A 22513-nucleotide genomic window follows, 5' to 3' on the forward strand; every position below is an offset into this window, starting at 1 on the left:
TTCCTGTAACCTGTTCCAATTATACTCTCTTGCCCAATTTATCTTCTGTCAGTGGTCCCATTTAAAAGATTGTTGGCCAGTCAATATTTGCAATGAAAATAAGAGAGAAATATATTCAATTGTTATAGAAAAAAATCAGAGTTCTTACTCTCATTTTATTAATTTATTATATAATCAAGACTGAGACAGAGAGATAAACAGAAAGAGAAACAGAGAGAAAGAAAGAGGTAGAAAGAAAAGCACTGTAACAGTTAGTACTCCATAGTATTTCTTTTATAAAATTATCATCAAGGTTCTAGTATATGAGGAAGTTTAAGAGAAAAACCATATATAAAAAAAATTTGCAACTGGGTAACATTTTATAGGAAAATTTATAAAAATATAGACTATGCAAATATAATTAATTTTTATTATAGACGATGGCTTACAGTGCGATTTAGTGTTTTATCTTAATTTTCCTAAAAAAAAGGAAACTAAAATATTGACAATCATAACCTCTTTTATTAGGTACAATGTGTTTTTCACGATGTATTCCTGCCAGAGAACCAGCTTTCTAGTAGTATTTGGTTATATGGTTTGGAAATTAAAAGAACTCCATTAACCTCCTGGGTCCATGAGCTGATGAGTAGCATTCTTATACCATCATTTCAAAATGACTTCTTATTACTAACACTAGTTGTTCCATTATAGTTAAAATTAAAGACTATGGAAGCTTGTTTAAAGGAAGCTTAATGTGGACTTTTACACTGAAAGAGTGCTAATTCGCCACAGCAAATATACGACTACATACAGCAGTTATTCATCATTTTGACTTTAGAGCAAAATGAGAATTTGTGGCCATGCTATTAAAAGACTTAAAGGGCATCTTTAGTATCTTTTTCCTCTCCCAGACCTCTAGATACATTAAAATACTAAAGAGACACAGTCATGCAATCTCCTATGATTTGAATGTGTCTCCCAAAGTTTATGTACTGGAAACTTAATCCCCAATGCAACAGTGTTAAAAGAGACGGCTAAGAGGTGATTAGGGCATGAAGACTCTGCCCTCACCAATGGATTAATGCTATTATCATGAGAGTAGGTTAGTTATTGTTATAGAAAGATGCAGCAAGAAGGCCCTTGCCAGATGTGGGCTTCTCCACCTTAGACTTCCCGGACTCTAAAACTGTAAGAAATAAGTCTCTGTTCTTTATAAATTATGCAATCCCAGGTATTCTGTTATAGCATCACAAAACAGGCTAAGACAAAATCTTAAGAGTATTTGTTTGTCTGTAGAAAACAATTTGGGGCTGAGTTATGAGGTATGAAAAACAATCTATTCATTAAGTTAATCATCAGTATGAAAGGAAATTAGGAGTTGGTTATCCATAAATAAATAAGCATATGAACTTTGAATCTTAATTGAAGATTACTAAACAATGAAACTATATAAACATTTAATTTCTCTATTTCCTGAAGTAGCAGGAATCTCTCTCCTCTTAAAAAGTTTAAAATAATCAATATATAAAAGATTGAGGTGGTAGATGGATTACTTGAGGTCAGGAGGTCGAGACCAGCCTGGCCAACACAGTGAAACCCCGTCCCTAGTAAGAATACAAAAATCAGCCAGGCACGGTGGTGTGTGCCTGTAGTCCCAGCCTCTCGGGAGGCTGAGGCAGGGAAATCACTTGAACCCAGGAGGCAGAGGTTGCAGTGAGCTGAGATCACGCCACTGCACTTCAGCCTGGGCAACAGAGTGAGACTCTGCCTCAAAAAATATAAATAAATAAATAAATAAATAATTCAAGAAAATATATTTTTGTTGTTATTTTTCAGAATATCAGTCTTTTAGAGAGTGAAGTCAAAAGACTAATCATCTATTGGATGCCAGACTTTTGCGTGGTTTTGGTTGATGTTAAAAAATAAATTAGGCTTAAAAACATAAAGCAACTGACCTTTACTGACCATCTAGTGTGAGCCTGGTCCTGTGCTAAATATTCCAAAATCATCCTATTTCATTTGATTTCATCAAGAGACTGAAGGAAGATTTTGCTCTTTTGATCCACAGGTCAGATCTCTTACACAGTCATGAGAAACTAAAATGGCTTTGACTTGTTATACATACTAACAGCAGCAATAATTTAAACGTATTTAGGTTTTTTTTAAGATTTGATTTTTTAAATAACTTTTTATCAACATACATAAAACATATGGCCAAGTTGACTGCATCATTAACAGTTGTATCTAACCTGTAGTCACAGAATCAACATATAGGAAATATTAAAGAGTTAACTAGTAAAGCTATTGCAGCAGGTAGTGGATGTGTATTAGGCTGTTCACACTGCTAATAAAGACTGGGTGATTTATCAAGAAAAAATGGTTTAATGGACTCACAGTTCCACATGGCTGGGGAGGCCTCACAACCATGGTGGAAGGCAAATGAGGAGCAAAGTCACATCTTACATGGCATCAGGCAAGATAACTTGTATAGGGGAACTCCCCTTTGTAAAACCATCAGATCTTGTGAGACTTATTCACTATCACGAAAACAGCATGGGAAAGAACCTACCTCCATGATTCAATTACCTTCCACCAGGTCCCTCCTACAACACATGGGAATTATGGGAGCCACAATTCAAGATGAGATTTGGGTGGGGACACAGCCAAACCATATCAGGGTGTGTGACAAGAAGGGGGATAATGTAATCAAATATTCCATCCAACACAGGAATAGCTCCCAGTTACTCTGGTGTAGTGAAGAGATATTCATTAACAATGTTTTCTTCTTTTCTGTATTCTCAATGCTCTGGCATCCGGGCCTTGAAGACTGGGGAGAGACTGCCCCTCTCAGGGCTAGCCAATTCTTAGAAATACCAGATGACTTACCCAGGAGCATGCCTTTGATTTGCAAACCAACTAATCCAGACCCCATACCTCAATCATCTATTTTATCTAATTCTCACACACCAAGCCAATGTTCCCTGTTCCATAATCACCCTGGGGTCAGGTACTATACAACCAGGGGCCACTCATATAGCCCAGAGTCTACCAAAATTATTCAAACTATCCAATCCTAAACCTGTACAGCTGCTTACCCTGCCTCTCTCACTGCATCCCACAACAATCACAATAAAGGTTCTGATCCATGCATTCCCCCTGCTCCATCTGTCTCCTGATCAACTTTGGTGCTTCTCCATGTGGCCCTGAATGGCTTGTTGTGCCCCTACTCTTGGAAGCTATAAGTAACAAACTACCTTTTCAATGGAAATTTTCTCCTGATCTGTTGGCCTCACCATATCTGAAAGAAAAGAAAATTTCGGGTGCATTTTAAAACAGAGTAATTTTTAAATAACAGTCAGTTCTGAAGATGTTCTCTTCTACCCAAAATGTCAAGGAGCATAAGTTTAGATATAAGTCAGGGTCCTCCAGAGAAACAGAATGAATAGGATGTGGCTCTATCTATCTATCTATCTATCTATCTATCTATCTATCTATCTATCTGATATATATACATATATATATATACACACATATATTTATGGAGAGAGACATATTGATTATTAGGAATTAGCTCATGAAATTATGGAAGGTGGAAAGTCCACCATCTGCTGCATGCCACCTGGAGACCCAAGAAAGCCAGTGGTGTGATTCAGTCCCAATCAGAAGGCCTGAGAACAAGGTGAGCCAGTGATTACGTAAATCTCATTCTGAAAGCAGGAAGAGATGAGATGAGCTATCCCAGCTCAAACAGTGAGGAAGGAAAAAGGTGAATTTCTGTTTACTCCACCTTTTATTCTATTCAGGCCCTCCACAGATTGGATGATGCCGACCTACATTGGGGAGGGCAGGCTACCATATTAAATCCACCAATTCAAATGCCAATGTCATCCAGAAACACCCTTACAGACACACACAGAAACAATGTTTATCCTGAGCACCCCATAACTCACTCAAGTTGACACATAAAATAACCCATTGCAAGGGGGAAAAATATCTTCCCATTCCACCACTGCAGCTCTTTGCAACAGAGAACTACTGAAGATAGGCCAAAAGGTCACAGCAAAGTTCCGAAAAGCCATTCCTGGAGTAAATGAGTAATCAGTTGTAGGGATCTTTTTCAAAGAATATTGGCAACTTCCCTATATTTTTTTTGTAGTTGCAACTGGTGGTATCTAGAATTATATAAATATACTCAATAAAAACTATGTTCTAAGGATTTAATGTGTGTAATTTGAGCATTTACAAAAGAAGACAGAGAATTTGCTGTAATTTTTACAAAAGCCTTGGTGCAGTTAGGCAATAGATAATGCAGAACTCAGAAGCATATCACTGGAGAATACTTAAGTAAAATCATGAAAGAAAAAGGGGCATTTTCTGAGAATTGAAGAAGGAAACGTCCCCCTAAACCACTGGCCCATGATTCTAATAGGAAGGGCTTGGAAGAAAACATGAGAACCATATTCAGTATGAACTATATATAGTTCTCCTTCCACAGCATGGGTTTAGACACTTCATTGCCTTTAGTTTTAATCAGTTTTTCAGGTCTTTTAAAAAATAGCTGCAAAAGCAGTGGACCCAATTGACAACTATGGTCATGATACTATACTAGTACTCCATCTAAACACACCAGGTAGGCATTTCATTCATCTATGCTGCCTTAAAAAAATAATTCCAGCTATGTACCAGTAATTTTGTTCAATTCCTTCATTTTTATCCATTAAACTGCCAGAGATTAAGGAAGAGGAAGAGAAGAAGGCTATCTGGGGAATAGTCAAATTTATTGATTAGATACACTGCATTTACAATTAATTTGATTTACTGACTTGACTAGTTCATGTATTTATTTGTTTATTCACTAGCAAATATAGATGGAGCACTACTTTGTGGTAAGCACTCTGCTAACTTCTAGGTAGCAATAATGGACAAACTAAGCATGTTCTTTTTAATTTAGGGTCTATTCGGAGAAGCAGACGTTGAAAAAGCAAACTCACAGAAACAATCTAGAATTGTGGTAATGCTATAAAGAAAAGGAAAAGTCCTATGAAAGGGAAGAGTCAGGAGGCTGTGTAGACATATTCTGCATCAGAAATTAATCAGTCACATAAATGAGCTGATGTTACAGAATATTTTTTAAATAATTAAATTTTTGTATTTCATAAGTACGTGTTTTGCTTTTTGAAGATTTTGGTGGTAAAATCCACTCAATTTGACAGCTCCTTTTCTCTTTCTGTTCTTTCTTCATACCAAACAAGGGTTTTCTGATTATTTAAAAAATTTTTTTCTCAGAACAGTTTGACTTAAGATTTCCCCAAGCATTTTATTGGGCAAGAGATGATATAAATTATTCATTTTATAAAATGTCTTACTATTCTACCAATACCCATAGGAATATATGTTTTAGAACTTATTTTCTAGTCCAATAAAAATTAATCTCTACATGAGCATTACAGGCTATGTCATTCAGAACTTGTTTATATGATATGTTAGTATTTCTGTGGTGTATTGAGCTTATATTTCTGTTTAGATAACCAATAATTTAAAAAACAAAGATTTTTATTTTATTTTAATTAATTAGACATGGGGTCTTGTTATATTGCCCAGGCCGAAACACAGTGGCTATTCACAGGCATGATCATAGCATACTACAACCTCATACTCTGGCCTCAAGTGATCCTCCCACTTCAGCCTCCCAAGTAGCTGGGAGCACAGTTGCATGCCACCACACCTGAACAAGAATCTTAATAACAATAATAATAATGATAAAGTATCCCATAATTTAATACTTATTTAGAAGATCTATATAATTATATGCTTTTAACCAGAAGGGAATACACAGTATAATATTTATTAACCCTTTACACTATGGTATGCACTGTGAATCTTCTGATCAAATGCAGTTTGATTAGACAAGCTTAAAAATCTTTTCATATTACCAATATTTTACCAATAATTCAAGTTTGTGTGTGTGCATGTGCACATATCTTTAACAGGAGAATTATTTATAATCATATTTAGTATAATGACTAATATACTTAATTTCATTACTTCAATATTAATTCATATATGCTTATTAGCTCTTTTCAGCATTTTTTTCCTCCTCGTGGCAGCACTGAAATGTAGTATTGTATCCACAGTCAAATGAGAGAGTTGAGGTTCTGATTTTGATGGGAATGCTTCATGCATATTTTCATCTTTGAGTGTGATTTGGCTTTATCATGTTAAGAAAACATCTTTCCAGTTTAAGAAGCTTTATATCAGGACTTGATGTCAAATTTTATCACATCTATTTGGAACTGTTAAAATAATTACATTTAATTTTTCTTTGATTTAGTGATAAACTGAGCTGCGAGTTTCTAATATTGACCATTTGCCTATGCCTGAAACAAAAGCTTCTTGATCATAACATGGTGTTCTTTTAGCATGTGGTGAGTTTTCAATTGTATTATTTTATTTGTGCTTTTACATCTATAATCATGAGAGAAATTGGTTGGCTTTTCATGCTTTCTCAGGTTTGGGTAACAAAAAAGTAGCACTTGCGGCATCTTTATATAAATTCCCAGTGTCTGGAGTAGACCGGGCAGGGCTCACAGCTGATAAGCAGGATATAACAGACTATATTCAACACCTACCGCTGCTCGCACCCTTGGCCAGGGACTCCTGGTCAGTAAACTTTGATATGTTGTGACCCCAGTATCGAGGTTACATTCACTACCTTAAGTTTGGCAACTTCTCTTCTTTTTGTGTTTATTCTTTGTCTTTCATGACATTAATAATCTTGAAAAATATGGCCAGCTGCATTACAGAATATCCCTCAGTGTGTGCTTTCTGATTTTTCTTTTTGATTTGATTTAGATTATGCATTTTAGCTGAAATAGTACAGTGATGCTATGTACACACGTCATTCAGAGGCACATGATATTCACTGCTTCTTATTGAGGATGTTAATTTTGATCAGTTGTTGACTGTTTTCTGCACAGCATTAAATGTTTTTTTAAATTTTTTTATTAGTAAATAATTTGTGGAAAGATACAGTCATGCTTACCTTAATAACAGGAATATGTTCTGAGTAATATATTGTTTGGCAATTGTGTCATTGTGTGAATATCACAGAGTGTACTTACACAAACCTAGCCTCTATAGCCTATACACACCTAGGCTACATAGTATAGGCTATTGCTCCTAAACTAGAAACCTGTATAGCACGTTACCATACTGAATACTGCAGGTGACTATAACACAATGGTATTTATGTATCTAAACATCTAAGCACAAAAAAATACAGTAAAAATACAGTATCATAATTTTATGAAATCACTGCTGCTTGTGTGGTGGGTCCATTGTTGGTCCAATGGTCCAAAACATTGTTAAGCGTGCATGACTGTATTTTGGGACTATTAAATACATGTTCCTCATTAAATTTCCCCACTCTCAGAATCTATTAATTATTCTTTTTGTTGGAAACCTGAATTCATTTTTACCATTATGGTTGTAAAGTGGTGATGCTTAAATTCCCATCATTCTTTTTTGGTTGTCATTCTGCTATTGTTATTCTCAAGACAAAAAAAAAAAGACCTTTCATTTGAGCAAGTTCTCAACCTGTCTGTACCTCAGCTTCCTTATCTCCAGAACGGTTAAGAACTATATCTCTTAGGGTTTATGTGAAATTGAAAGAAGATAATGTATATAAGTATATTAACATAATGGCTAGTATAAAGTAGCATGCAATAAACGTTAGTTTCCCGATCTATTCTTTCCAACATAAGTTTTTAATTTATTTACTTTAAAAGTTCTTGCCTCTTTAATGTATAATAGATATTCTAATAAATAATAACATTCTAATAAAATGATTTCTAGATAAAAATACTTCAGCAAATCATGTGATTTCATCCTCCTTGATTTAAGCAAATTGTTAATATGACCATTTATTGAAACAATTGCAGATTCATTTGATACTAATCTTTGGAGTTTCCTGATTAGTAAATGTGGGGTTTACACAATTCTGTAATGCAGCTGTTATTGGAAAAGTCAGTACAAAGTTCAGCTGCAGTCTTGGAAATAGATTTCATTGTGTTTTATTTTTAGATGGTTCTTTAATTTCTGTTCCCTTTCTAAAGAAAGACTCAATTTCACTGTCCCTGGTATGTATTATTTCCATTCTCTTGGCTCAATATTTTCTATTATTTATTTTTCCAAGTATAAAATTTCATTTGTGGTAGCCCCTTGGGTCATGGTTATCAGAAACAAACAACTGAAATAGATACGTGGACGAGATTGGACTCACATACCATATTGGTTGGCAAACTACAGTAAGCCAATAAGGGGTTTTAGGACATATATTTTAAAAGTCCCAGAATCATTGTAGATATCAAAGATCTCTGAATCCCCTTTCAATTTGCCTTGGGTCCTTTGCTAACATGCCACACAAATCAGTCAACATAGTCTTTAAACTTTTGCTTCCCCTCTAGTTTCATGAATGTGAGCCTGGGGAAAATATGTCAAGCCTGGGGAAAATATGTTCCTCCCTCACCTGTCTTTTTTCTTAAAAGTCACACCCATTGGGTAATGAGTGAATACACTGGGTATTCTTTTTAATAAAGAACTATTTTGTGCCAAAGTGACCATTTCAGTTGTTCCTATGCTATGTCATTAAAAGAAATACATAAAAGGGGCTACTTCCCACTTAGACATTCTAAAATGTTACCTCAAAAGATAGCCCCCTACCAATCATATTATCAATTTCCTGCCAATCCCACTATAATCAAACTTTTTTCTTTCAACTAATTTATCCCCCTGTTAAATTCCAATTCTTTCCCAACTTTACCACTAAATGCTCCCTCTATACAGTTAGCAGTCCCATTCATACCAAGTTGCAGTAACTGGAGTTGATGCGGCATAAAGAGAGCCTTAGTCTCCTTCCCTTCCTGATTCAATTTGATCAATGAGACCCCCTTTGTCTTATTCATGTCGGGTTTACAGTTGCTTGGGTCTTGCTTCTACTCAGTCATCCTCACTTGAGCCAGGGTACTGATCCCTGACCTCCTAAGAGAACTATTGTTATCTAAAGAGTTCTTCCACGCTGCCTCCTTCCCATATTCATTGGAACCTTGTGATCTCCTTTCAAGCCCAGACCAAATGGTCATCTTCCATTTTCACTGTAAAATAGGAGTTGAAAGCTTTACTCCTCTCCCAGGAGCCAGCTCTAGACCTGATAGTCTAACTTTTACTCCCTCATGCCTGCTGGCCATAAAAAGGAAAGTGGGACCCACGGGGTATCATCAATTTATATCTCAAAATAATATAATTCTTCCCTGTCCCACAACAAGACAAAGTTCAAGCCCTTTCCACAAGTGAAAATTAACGGAGAAACCAAAAACAAAAAAATTTAACAGTTCAGCTAAACGTGTACACACATGAAATCTCTTCATTTTTTTTTAGCTGCTGTTGGGAAACTCTTAAGCAGATACCAGGTAAGCATGTGGTACTTTGTATTTCAATCATTTTGATTAAAAGGATGGAGGCACACTCATCAACATATGCCAAGATAGATGAGCCTACAATAATAGAGCACCCTGGTCCTTGAGGTTTCTGCAGTCAGCTTCCTTTATACTCCAGATTCCCATGGTACAAATGTAAGTGACCTGGCAGCATTCTGTTAAAAGTGTTTTATGCCCTTTGCCCTCGGAAGACAAACACATTCACTTTAGCCTTTGCACCAGAATATAGCAAGCTGGACACCAATGTCTCCCCAGGCATAAGGAACTATTACTCCGTCTCCATTCTCTAGAGGAATAATACAGTGCCCACAGAATCCATGGGAGTTAAATAAATATTTGCTACAAATAACACTGGTGTTTGGAATTCATTATTAGGGAATTGTTGTAATGGATTTTTCAGACTGTTCCTCAGATAAATCTTCTGACTACCCCCTGATGAGCAGCAGAAGTGCAGCAACTCTTAAATTGACATGATTAACCTAAATTGTAAGTTGTCACCATGTTCTATGCTATATATCCTTTCAGCTTTGAGGCTAACAAGCCTTTCCTAGAAAAATACAAAAATGCCATGCATTTTACCACTTCAACACATGATTATTTATTGCATCACTTCACTTGAATCCCAGGAGTTAGATCTGCATACATAACTCTGGAATCACCGACATAAACTGTAAACCACTATACAAATATAAGCATCCTCATTGCCATCATCACCATCATCATCCTCATCATCATTATTCATAAAATCTGTTCTTTTTCCCTCCAGTATTTCCCTATGAATCACCATTTCCTCTCCGGTACACAATCACTGTCCTTCTGGACCCTCATTGCCTCATGCCTGAATATCACAATGCATTTGTAAACAACTTTTCTAACTCCGTGATCTCCCAGCCCCCAATTCATCTCATACAGGACTATCAGATGCAGCTCACTAAAAATCTGCATTTACTATGTTTGAAACGCTCTAATTCATTCAATATTCACTTATTGAGAACATACCATGTAGAAACATTCACTATGAGGGAAGCAAAGATGAACAAGACAAGAGAGCAAAATATGTATACACAAATTACTATAGTCCTAGGCAGAACTGAGAGCTGACAGAACAGAATTAAAACACAGTTCTATGCAAACTCAGAGATGGTAGGATTTAATTCTCATTGAGTACATTCGGAAAGGTGTAATTGAGGTGGTGGGATCTGGAGGCAGCTTCAAAGAAAATAATAAATTTTTTGAATGGTAGAGATAGGAAAACCTATAGGAGGAGAAAAATGTGAGCTAAGGTACAAAAGCAGAAGATCATAGGTTATATATTTTAGATATATATATTTACAGCAATGCCATGATTACACCGAAAATGCAGTGTGTGTGAGTTTCCTATACCAATTTATACTGTAGATTTATAGATCACATATCCTCCTCGACCCGTCCACCCTTCATCAGCCAGTACCCACATTAGAAATAACAGGGGGAGAGTTGAAAAAATGGAAGAAAAATTAAGATTCCCTTATCTTTTTATCACCTGTTAGTTTTTTTTTTTTTAATTAATTTTGCCAGATCAAACATTTTAACTTACCTTAAGGTGGGACAAAGCTGTTTCCAACAGACCCTTAGTTCTTCCAGAAGAAAGCAAAAGGTGATTCAGCTGACTAGTTAGGAAAAAGCTGAGGACAGTTGTTTTCCTTATAAGTTGATTTTCTTGCTACTCTGCCAATTTAATCTAATAACCTACCTCTGCTTCTAAAAGTCACAAGCACCATAGCCACCTCCAAACAAGAAACAGGTCATGTTCTCTTTTTGGTGCTGTCATTTGCCTTGCAGTTTACTGCCCCAACTCTGACACCAATTGCTCCCACTGCCTAGTCTCTAGTTGCTATGTATTTGTGTTTATAAAAGTATAGTATAGGAAATACCCAATAATTTGTTTTATTTTGTTCTGTGAGTCTTGTTTTATGTTTTTCCTTGATTATGAATCACTATGATTATAGTGATTTGGGGGGATAATACCAAAACCTATGTTTTTATCAGGCATCTCAGAAGAATTCAAGCAAGAGCAATTCATTGTTTAAATTGAATTTATGGCTGCTGAATGAAGACAAAACTTATGTAAAAAGGCTAAAGTTAAGTATAGAAAAGATAAGAAATCCTGCTCTTGGAGCTCCATATTAGCCAAATGACAGAAAGCTGAATTCTGACTAAGTTTAAAAAAAACTGTTCAAGTCCTTAACTGTGAACTCTTCAGTGTTATGCGAAACCCTGTCTCTACCAAAAATACAAAAAAATTAGCCGGACATAATGGTGCACACCTGTGGTCCCGGCTACACAGGAGACTGAGGTGGGAGGATCACCTGGGCCTGGGAGGCGGAGGTTGTGGTGCACTGAGATCACACCACTGCAGCCCAGCCTGGGCAACACAGTGAGGCACCATCTCAAAACCTCCCCCCGCCAAAAACAAAACAAAACAAACAAACGAAAAAAAAAAAAACTAAAAAAATTAACCCCTTCTTTGCTCAGGAACTGAAAACCACCTTTGTAAAGCTAATGAAAGGCCACAAGAAAAAGGTTATGGGAGGCGTCTGAACTTTGTCACCTTGGCTGGAGTACAGAGGCATGATCTTGGCTCACTGTAGCCTCTGCCTCCTGGGCTCAGGAGATCTTTTCACCTCAGCCTCCTGAGTAGTGGGAACTACAGGAGTGCGCCAAAACCGCAACCCCTGCCCAGGTAGTTTTTTGTGTTTTTGGTAGAGAGGGGGTTCTGCCATGATGCTCAGGCTGGTCTTGAACTCCTGGCCTCAAATGATCCACCCACTTCAGCCTGCAAAGTGCTGGGATTATAGGTCTGAGCCACCATGCTGGCCCAGCGTTGTATATTAAACAAGATCAACAAAAAGTCCAATTCATTCTCACAAAAGTGGCTAAAAGAATATTCCTCTGTTACCATCTTGCTGACTCTTCTTCGACTTTCTGATTTTTCTGTTTGTACCTCATGTTATTTTTATTCATCAGCATCTGCACCTCATACCCGCTACTGCTTCAGGGCTCTTCTTGGAGCTGCTTCTTGGCCTTTCCTTATATCAATGCTTTAAAAAACTTCATTTAATGTTGGGTGCGATGGCTCACGCCTGTAATCCCAGCACTTTGGGAGGTCGAGGTGGCCATATCACGAGGTCAAGAGATCGAAACTATCCTGGCCAACATGGTGAAACCCTGTCTCTACTGAAAATACAAAAATTAGCTGGGTGTGGTAGCAGGAACCTGTAGTCCCAGTACTTGGGAGGCTGAGGGAGGAGAATCGCTTGAACCCAGGAGGTAGAGGTTGCAGTGAGCCCAGATCGTGTCACTGCACTCCAGCCTGGCGACAGAGTGAGACTCCATCTCAAAAAAAAGAAAAAAAAAACAAATAACAAAACACACAAAAAAACTGCATTTAAGTACAAAATATGTATAAGTTAAATTTACATATTCTCATTTGTCCAAGGAGTTAAATTAATCCTCTGCCTCCATTTTGGCACACTCATCACAGGATTGTGCAAGAACCCCGTCTTGATGTATTTATTTAATTTCATTTTATTTCCATTCTAATAAGCTTTGATATTCTTTTCATATTAATATATCCTACAAAAACATGTATCATAGTTTGAAGTGCATAAACTTTTTATTTCATTGACAGTATTGTTCTATAGCTCCTATTGTAGTTCTTAGGCATATAGAGCAAACATTTTGCAACCAGATGCCCAAGTTCAGATCTAGAATGTCCACTTACAATGTCACCTTATATACCTCAGCTTCTTCATCTATATAAAACATGGATGTAATAATCCATCACACGGTTGTTATGAGCTCTGAACAGTAACTGGCACATAGTAAATACTAGTAAGTGTTTTCTATTATTGTTAACATTACTATATGTTTCATATATCCTTATTTCATAAGATCTCTCCATGTTACTACACAAAGCTGGGCTATGACTTCTAACTGCCACATCATATCCCATATTGTATGTCCACTATATTCCATTTCTCCATTATCCCTACTAGACTTGATATTGAACATCCCCTTACATGCCTGATAACTGAGTAATTTTTCTGCAAATAGTCTGCTCCTACTTTTCCTATATTTTATTGTTTTTTCCTATATTTTTCTTATTTATTTGTAAAGTTCCCTGTGTGTTGTAGACATATATCTCCTGTCAGATATAGACATTATAAATACCTTTCCCATTCTTTTCTTTTTTTTTTTTTTTTTTTTTTTTTTTTTTGAGACGGAGTCTCGCTCTGTCGCCCAGGCTGGAGTGCAGTGGCGCGATCTCGGCTCACTGCAAGCTCCGCCTCCCGGGTTCACGCCATTCTCCTGCCTCAGCCTCCCGAGTAGCTACACAGGCGCCCGCTACCACGCCCGGCTAATGTTTTGTATTTTTAGTAGAGACGGGGTTTCACCGTGTTAGCCAGGATGGTCTCGATCTCCTGACCTCGTGATCCGCCCGCCTCGGCCTCCCAAAGTGCTGGGATTACAGGCGTGAGCCACCGCGCCCGGCCCCTTTCCCATTCTTATATCTGTTTATTTTGTTCATGACACCCGTAATTTAAAAGAAATCTTTAATTTTAACACAATCAAATAAATCCATTCTTTCAGCTCATGATTTGTGCTTTTCAGATTTTCTTTATGAAGTCGTTCCTCAACCTTAGGTGACAAAAATAGTCTCCTATATCATAGACGGTTAACTTTGCAGGATTATTCTACCTGAAATCCAACTTTGTAGTGTTAGGCAGAAATTTAGTTTCATTTTGCTCCACGGAGTGATCCAGTTTTTGCAAACTATTTACTAAACAATCTGTCCTTTCTTCATTAATTTGGGCTGGGATGATTTCTATGAAACACTCTGGATGGCAAAAGCCAGCTGCCTAATATATAAAAACCTATCCTAATGCTAAATTCTGTATGTTTCTCTCTAAGACTATTGAGTTCTTTTGGTCGGGTGTGTACACAAAGCTTTCATGCATAATCATTTCCTCTCAAGTTTATGTGGGCATTTCTTTTACCAAGTTCACATGGGACAATAAATTCAAAGCAAATATTCAACTTGCCTACTCGTTCACTTGCAGAGACTGGTATGCTTGTTTAAAGAACAAACTTAAACAGGGCCTAGTTTGGCCCTTGTTTTGGATTCTGTTTCTGAGAAGTGGCTTTCCATTTTTCTTATGCCAAAACTAGCCTTTTCTTGGAAGCCTCCTTGAATTTATTTTCCTCTAGCTACCATGTTTCTCCCGAGTCTCCAGAAGGATTTTATCATTCAACCAATTTTGAGTAACTACTATGCACTAGGCAAAGTACAAGTTAAGCTGTGTGAACAAGACAGTGAATAACAGTAAACTGCACAGAGGCTCTGATCCAATGGAACTAACAGTGAAGAGACTAATTAAATGAATAATCAAATATATCTACAAATTATAAACTATGGTAAGTGCTAAGAAGGAAATCACTGAGGTACTGTGTGAGAATATAATTGAGGAGGTAGATGCCTTACTTAGACAAGGGATTTTTAAGGCATTTTTGAAGAAGTGGAGTTTAAGATATGAGCTGATGAAGTAGGAGTTATCCAAGTGGAGGAGCCACATGTGAAGGCCCTGAGAGGGAAACGAGCTTGGTGGGTAACTGTGAAGCCCTGAAAGAGAGTCTAATGGCTGCCAGAAAGGTTTTATATTGTATGATTAGACTGTGATTTGAGATCATGGGAATTGGAACCATTTAAGTCTTTCTAAACCAAAATTCTCACAAAGACCAGGATTCCATGGTGTTTCTGGAGGAAACTACCGATTAAGCAAAATTGTTTAAAATCCTCAGAGATTCTTAGAAGTTCTCTAAAGCTGAGAGTTCCAAATCAGGATACGAAGATTGAAAAGATAGTTCTCCTTCCACTTACAATGTACATAGATGCAAGAGAGTATCACTTTCATCCTAAGTACAAGGAAAATTCAGAAAATCTATAAAGTCATAATTTTTTTGGAACCTATGAGAGCCAAGTTTTCAAAACAACCAAATATATAGAATTCTAAAATGCTTTTCCAAGAATTGGGAACTATTAACTGTTGTGCCCCTGGCAGAACATGGGAAGAAGAGGTAGCAGCAATAGAAGTGAGTAAAAAGGAAACAACGAATCTTTTAATGTATCTTAAAGGCTAACTGTGGGCTAACACGATAATTTAGAATCCCTGAGAGCTCCAGACACAAAGGGAGTCTGCACAAACTCACCAGCAATTTTACACCTCCTTCTACCAGCTGCTCACAAGAAAGACTGAGAGGCAGAAGACATGAGAGAGTCTCTCTCAGGGGTACCATCATAGAAGTGGCACAGTAGTATGGAGAATTGGCACAAACCCAGCAGTGTCCTAGACTCATATATCTTAGAAAGTAAAACCCTCACACTCACCTCCCCCTTACCAGGTGAATGATGATAAGCACTGGGGCAGTGTTGGAAATTAGTGTCCCATGATGTTGGAAAAAAGACTAGAAAGCGCTCCTAAAAACGAACCCCCTGGAAAAAAAAAAGTCTTTAATTGCTGGGGTGTGACAGAAATCCACCCTTCCCACGCTGCACCGAAATGAAGCAAAAATAAAAACATCTGTCACTAGGGGAAGGACAGGAAGTGCATTCATGTTCAGGATCTTAAATTAATACAAAGCAGAGGGCTGCTGCAATAAAAGAGAAACAGGAAATTTGGCTGTACCCAAGATCCCCCAAAGACAGAAAGCAGAGTTTGGCTGACATAGGAAGAAAGGTCAGGAATGTTAAGAAAGCCCACTGCTCAGGCTCAAGAACAAAAAGCTACCTAAGACTGATGCCGGATAAGAAAAACAAAGGTATCCTCTAATATCACCACAAACAGTCTTGAAGCAAGTAAAAAACAATGGCACATTACCACAAGGGAGGTGAAAGAGCACCACTGCGAGAGACACATCTGACCTGCAGGCACAGAAGGCCTGCTAAAAAGAAGGATGGATCTGAGGATGGATGAGGAAGACTCAGGACTACCACTCCCTCCCATTTCACTCTGGAAATCTAGAACTTCCACTAAGAACAAAATAACATGTTTTCTACTGTAGGAATTTGAAGTCTATGTCACAATAAAATAACTAGCAACAACAAAATTCAAACCCAGTGAAACTACTGGGATTAATTTAACTCCCCATGCTAATGACCTGATAGGAAAAGAGGTGTGGCAATTGCAAGGCATAAATACTATTTCCTTCAGTTTCTACTGACCTATATACAATGTCAGCAGTAAAAAAATATGAGACACAAACATGACAAACTCACAGCTAACATCATACTGAAAAGGTAAAAACTGAAAACCTTTTCTGTAAGATCTGGATTAAGACAAAGATGCCCACTTTCACTACTTTTATTCCACATAGTGTTAGAAGTCCTAGCCAATTAGACAAGAGAAAGAAATAAAAGGCATTCAATTTGTAAAAAAAAAAAAAAAAAAAAAAATCATATTAGCTTTCCTTGCAGATGACACGATCTTATACTTGGGAAAACCTAGACTCCATCAAAAAAGTTTTAGAGCTGATAAACAAATTCAGTAAAGTTACAGAATATGAAATTAACATAAAATGTCAGTAGCATTTCTATATGCTAACAGCAAACAATCTGAAAAAGAAACCAAAAGGGTAAAACCATTTACAATAGCTTCAAATAAAATAAAATATAAGAAGTAAACTTAGCCAAAAAAGTAAAATATCTCTACAATGAAATCTGTAAAACATTAATAAGAGAAATTGAAGAGGACACAAAAAAATGGAAACATAGTCTCTGTTTACGGATTGGAAGAATCAATATTGTTAAAAATGTCAATACTATGCAAAGCAATCTACAGATTCATTGCAATCCCTATCAGAATACTAATGACATTCTTCACAAAAATAAAAATAGTAATATTAAAATTTATATGGCAACACACACACATAAAATAATAGCTAAACCAATCCTGAGCAAACAGAACAAAGCTGGAGGCATTGCACTACCTGACTTTGAAATGAACTACAAAGATATAATAACAAAAACAGTATGGTACTGGCATAAAAACAAACAAATAGACCAAGAGAACAGAACAAAGAAGCCAGAAATAAATCCATGCATTTACAGTCAACACACTTTTGATAAAGGGACCAAGAACATACATTGTAGAAAGAACAGTCTTCTCAATAAGTGGTGCTAGAAAAACCAGATATCCATATGCCAAAGAATAAAATTAGACCTCTATCTCTTGCCATATATAAAAATCAAATTAAAGTGGATTAAATAGTTAAATGTAAGACCTGAAACTGAAAACACTAGAAGAAAATATTGGGGAAACAATCTAGGACATTGGTCTGAGCAAAGATTTCTTGTGTAAGAACTCAAAAGCATAGGCAATGAAAGCAAACATGGACAAATGGGATCACAGCAAGCTAAAAAGATTATCCACAGCAAAGGAAACCATCAACAAAGTGAAGATACCACCTACAAATGGGAGAAAATATTTGCAAACTACCTATATGACAAGAGATTAATAACCAGAATATACAAGGAACTCAAATAACTCAATAGTAAAAAAAAAAATAATAATAATCCAATTTAAGAATGAGCCAAAAATATGAATACGTATTTCTCAAAAGAAGACATACAAATGGCCAAGAGCCATATCAAAAAAATGCTCAGTATCACTGCTTATCAGAGAAAGGCAAAACTACAATGAGATACCATATCACCCCAGTGAAAATACTTTTATCAAAAAGATAGTCAATAATAGATACGGGTGAGGATGTGGAGAAAAGGAAATGCTTACATTGTTGGTGGGAATACAAATGAGTACAGTCACTATGGAGAACAGTATGGCAGTTTCTCAGAAAACTAAAAATAGAACCATCATATGATCCCATATGATCCAGCAATCCCCTTGGTGGGTATACATCCAAAAGAAAAGAAATCATTATATGGAAGAGATTTCTGCAATCCCATGTTTATTGCAGCACTATTCACAATAGCCAATATATGGAATTAACCTACATGTCCATCAACGGATGAATAAACAAAATATTGTGCATATTCACAAGACAATATTATTCTGCTATAGAAAAGAATAAAATTCTGTTATTTGCAAAAACTTAGATGAAACTGAAGGACATTATGTTAAATGAAATAAGCCAGGCACAGAAACAGAAATATCACATGTTCTCATTTATCTCTGGAAGCTGAAAAGTTTGATCTCATAGAGATAGAGAGTAGAATGATGGTTATCAGAGGCTGCAAAGGGTAGTGGGGAGGGATGAACAAAGATGGCTTGGTTAATAGGTACAAAAATACAGTTAGATATAAGGAATATGATCTAGTGTTTGGTAGCACAATAGAGTGACTATAGTTAACAATGATTTATTGTGTATTTCAAAATAGCTAGAAGAATAGAATTGGAATGTTAATAACACAAAGAAATGATAAATGTTTAAGGTGATGGATATTTTAATTACAATTTGATCATTATACATTGTATGCTTATATCAAAATATCACATGTACCCCATAATTATGTGCAACTACCATGTATCCATAAAAATTTTAAAACTTAAAAAATTATGAGACATAAAATATCAGCAAGAAAAATAGATCCATTGTCAAGAAATTAAGCAGTCAACAGAACTAGACCCAGAGATGGTCCAGATAATGGTACAACCAGATAGAGACTTTAAAATGAATATGGGCTGGGCACAGTGGCTCACACCTATAATCCCAAAGCTTTAGGAGGCCAATGCAAGAGGATCACTTGAGGCTAAGAGTTCCAGAGCAGCACTGGGCAACATAGCAAGACCCCATCTCTTCAAAACATTTAAACTTTAGCCAGATGTAGTGGTGTATGCCTATAGTCCTAGCTACTTGGGAGGCAGAGGCAGGAGGATTGCTTGAACCCAGGAGTTCGAGGTTACAGTAAGCTATGATCGTGCCACTGCACTCTGGTCTGGGTGACAGAGCAAGACCCTGCCTCAAATAAATAAATTAATTTAATTTAATGAATATGATTAGTATGTTAAAAGCTAGATGAAATGGGCAAACTCTTGGAAAGAACAGATAATAATCATAATAGCTCTACATCTACTAAAGAAATTAAAGACTCCTCCAAAGAAAACTCTAGACCAAAATGGCTTCACAGAATGAAATCAACCAAAAATTTAGGAAAGAATTAATATAAATTTTAGATCACCTCTTTAAGAAAGTCGACAAGGCTTGACACTTGACAACTCATTTTATTAGGCCAGCATAAACCTATCACCAATACCAGAAAAACACTGCAAAAAAACACACAAAGATATACTTTATAAATATAGAAGTAAAAAAAATATAAATATTCAAATCTAAACACAGTTTTTAAAATTACTAGCAGTCCAATCCAGCAACATACAAAAAGGACAATACAACACAATTCAGTTAGCTTATCCTAGGAAAGCAAAGTTGGTTCAACATTAAAACTTCAATTAATTTAATTCATCATATTAACATACTAAGAAAGCAAAAGTAACATATGACTATCTTGATTGATGCAGAAAAAAATTTAACAAAATTCAACATCCATTCACACAAAAATTCCCAACTTGAAACATAAGGGAATTCTTTAGTCTTAAAAGGAACATGTGTAAAATACTACAGAATACATACAACGGTGAAAGACTGAATATTTTATCCCTAAGATCATAAAAAAGACAAGTTGATCCACCCTCACCACTCCTAATGAACACTGAATTGGAGTAAATTTGCACATTCATGCATGTGGGAACACATATACATACACACACACACATACACACACACACACACACACACATACGCACCATACAGGTTGGAAAGAAGGAAGTATAACTCTCTCTCTCCACAGACTACATGATTGTTTACATAGAGAATCCCAGGAAATCCACAATAATGCTACTATAGCAAATTTGTTTATAATATCAAAAAGCTGGAAATAGTTAAATGTCCATTAATTGGTGAATGAATAAACACATTGTGGTGCATAAACGCAAAAGAATATTCCTTATTAACATCAAGTAAAAATAATTGATACATGCAACATGGATAAACCTCAAAATCATTATGGCCAGTAAAGAAGTCAGACATGAAAAGCTGCATATTGTAAAATTCTTCTTATACGACATTCTAAAATTTTTACAAAAAGCAAAACAAGTTTAGAAAATGGATCAATGCTTGCCAGCAGCTGGGGCTAGAAACAAGAGATTGACTGCAAAAAAGCATGAGTGAACTTTTTGGGGTAATAGATAATAGATATATGCTATATCTTGATTGTGGTGGTGGTTATGGTAACTATAAATCTGTCAAAATTCATTGTTTACTCTAAAAGGTATATTTTAGGGTCTTTAAATTGTACCTTAATAAATATAGCTTTTAAATGAAAGATGACTAGGACAGTCTCTGTATCATGGAGTTTGCAATTTAGTGTTGGAGACAGATAAATGAACTAACTATAATATAATGTGTTAAAGGTAGCATTTCAACAAATATTTCATTTGACATGTATTTGTGGAGGTCATACTAAGTGCTAAGCACTGTTTTAGTCCTTAAGATACATCAGCAAAAAAACCAAAATTTTTAAATGAAGTTTACATTGTATTGAGGGCACATGCATAATAAGTTTAAAAAAATAAAGAAATTATAATATATTAAGTAATAAGTGCTATCAAAAAAGGAAAATTAGTACAGGGTAAGGGAGATAGGAATATGAAGGTGGAGGAGGTAAAGGTCTTGTTGCAATGTAAAATCAGGTGGTAAGGGTAAATTGCACTGAGAAAGTGATATTGGAGCAAAGAAATGTGAGCCATGTAAACCATGGGAAAGCATGTTCGAGGCAGAGGTAAAATCCCATGAACTGGCCAATGAATTTGGTGAGAGAATGTGTGATGTGTTCCAGGAATAGCGAGTAGGTCTGGAACAGACTGAGCAAGGCAAAGAATAGTAGAAAACAAGGTTAGAAAGGTCATAGGAAGGTGAATTGTGTGGGACCTTTATAGACCGTTGTAAGTGATATAGTTTGGCTGTGCCCCACCCAAATCTCATCTTGAATTGTAGTTCCCATAATCTCCACGTGTCATGGGAGGAACCAGGTGGAGATAATTTTGAATCATGGGAGCTGTTTCCGCCATCCTGTTCTCATGTAGTGACTTAGTTCTCATGAAATCTGATGGTTTTATAAGGGGTTTCCCCCTTCACTCATTCTCCCTTTCCTGCTGTCCTGTGAAGAGGTGACTTCCTCAATGATTGTAAGTTTCCTGAGGCCTCACCAGCCTCAGGAACTGTGAGTCAGTTAAACCTATTTTTTTTTTTTTTACATAAATTACCCAGTCTCAGCTATGTCCTTATAGCAACCTGAGAATGGACTAATACAGTAAGGATTGGGGTTTTTATCCTGTCAAATGGGAGACATTGAAATCAACCTAAATGCCTATCAATGACAGATTAGATAAAGTGTGGTACATACACACCATAAAATACTTTGCAGCCACAAAAAAGAATGAGATCATGTCTTTTGTGGGAACATGGATGGAGCTGTAGGCTATTATCCTTAGCAAACTAATGCAGGAACAGAAAACCAAATATCGCATGTTCTCACTTGTAAGTGGGAACTAAATGATGACAACTCATGGACACAAAGAAAGGAACAACAGACACTGGGGCCTACTTGAGGGTGGAAGGTGGGAGGAGGGACAGGAGCAGAAAAAATAACGATTGGGTACTTGGTTTAGCACCTGCGTAATAAAATAATCTGTACAACAAACCCCCATGACACGAGTTTACCTATATAACAAACTTGCACTGTACACCCAAATCTAAAATAAAAGTTAAAAAAAATTTTGTTTTATTTTGTAAATTTCTATATTTAATAATTTTATAATTTTAAGTTACATAATAAAATATAATTCCAACTGTACAGCAATATAAACAATGCAAAATTACAAAATTGATAACAAATAACTTCTGTCCATTGCAGGATCTTGAGAGGA

At 36.3% G+C, this 22513-nt stretch overlaps 1 long non-coding RNA gene across 1 annotated transcript in view; it reads right to left on the reverse strand.

Moving 5' to 3' along the window:
* LOC105377977 (uncharacterized) overlaps positions 1 to 22513 on the reverse strand; it is a 46633-nt gene that overhangs the window by 13862 nt on the left and 10258 nt on the right. The window contains exon 3 of the long non-coding RNA XR_942934.2: positions 19708 to 19792. This is a non-coding gene — a long non-coding RNA (uncharacterized LOC105377977). The remainder of the gene's footprint in view (positions 1 to 19707; positions 19793 to 22513) is intronic.

The sequence above is a fragment of the Homo sapiens genome, chromosome 6, assembly GCF_000001405.40.
Source record: "Homo sapiens chromosome 6, GRCh38.p14 Primary Assembly".
Lineage (NCBI taxonomy): Eukaryota > Metazoa > Chordata > Mammalia > Primates > Hominidae > Homo > Homo sapiens.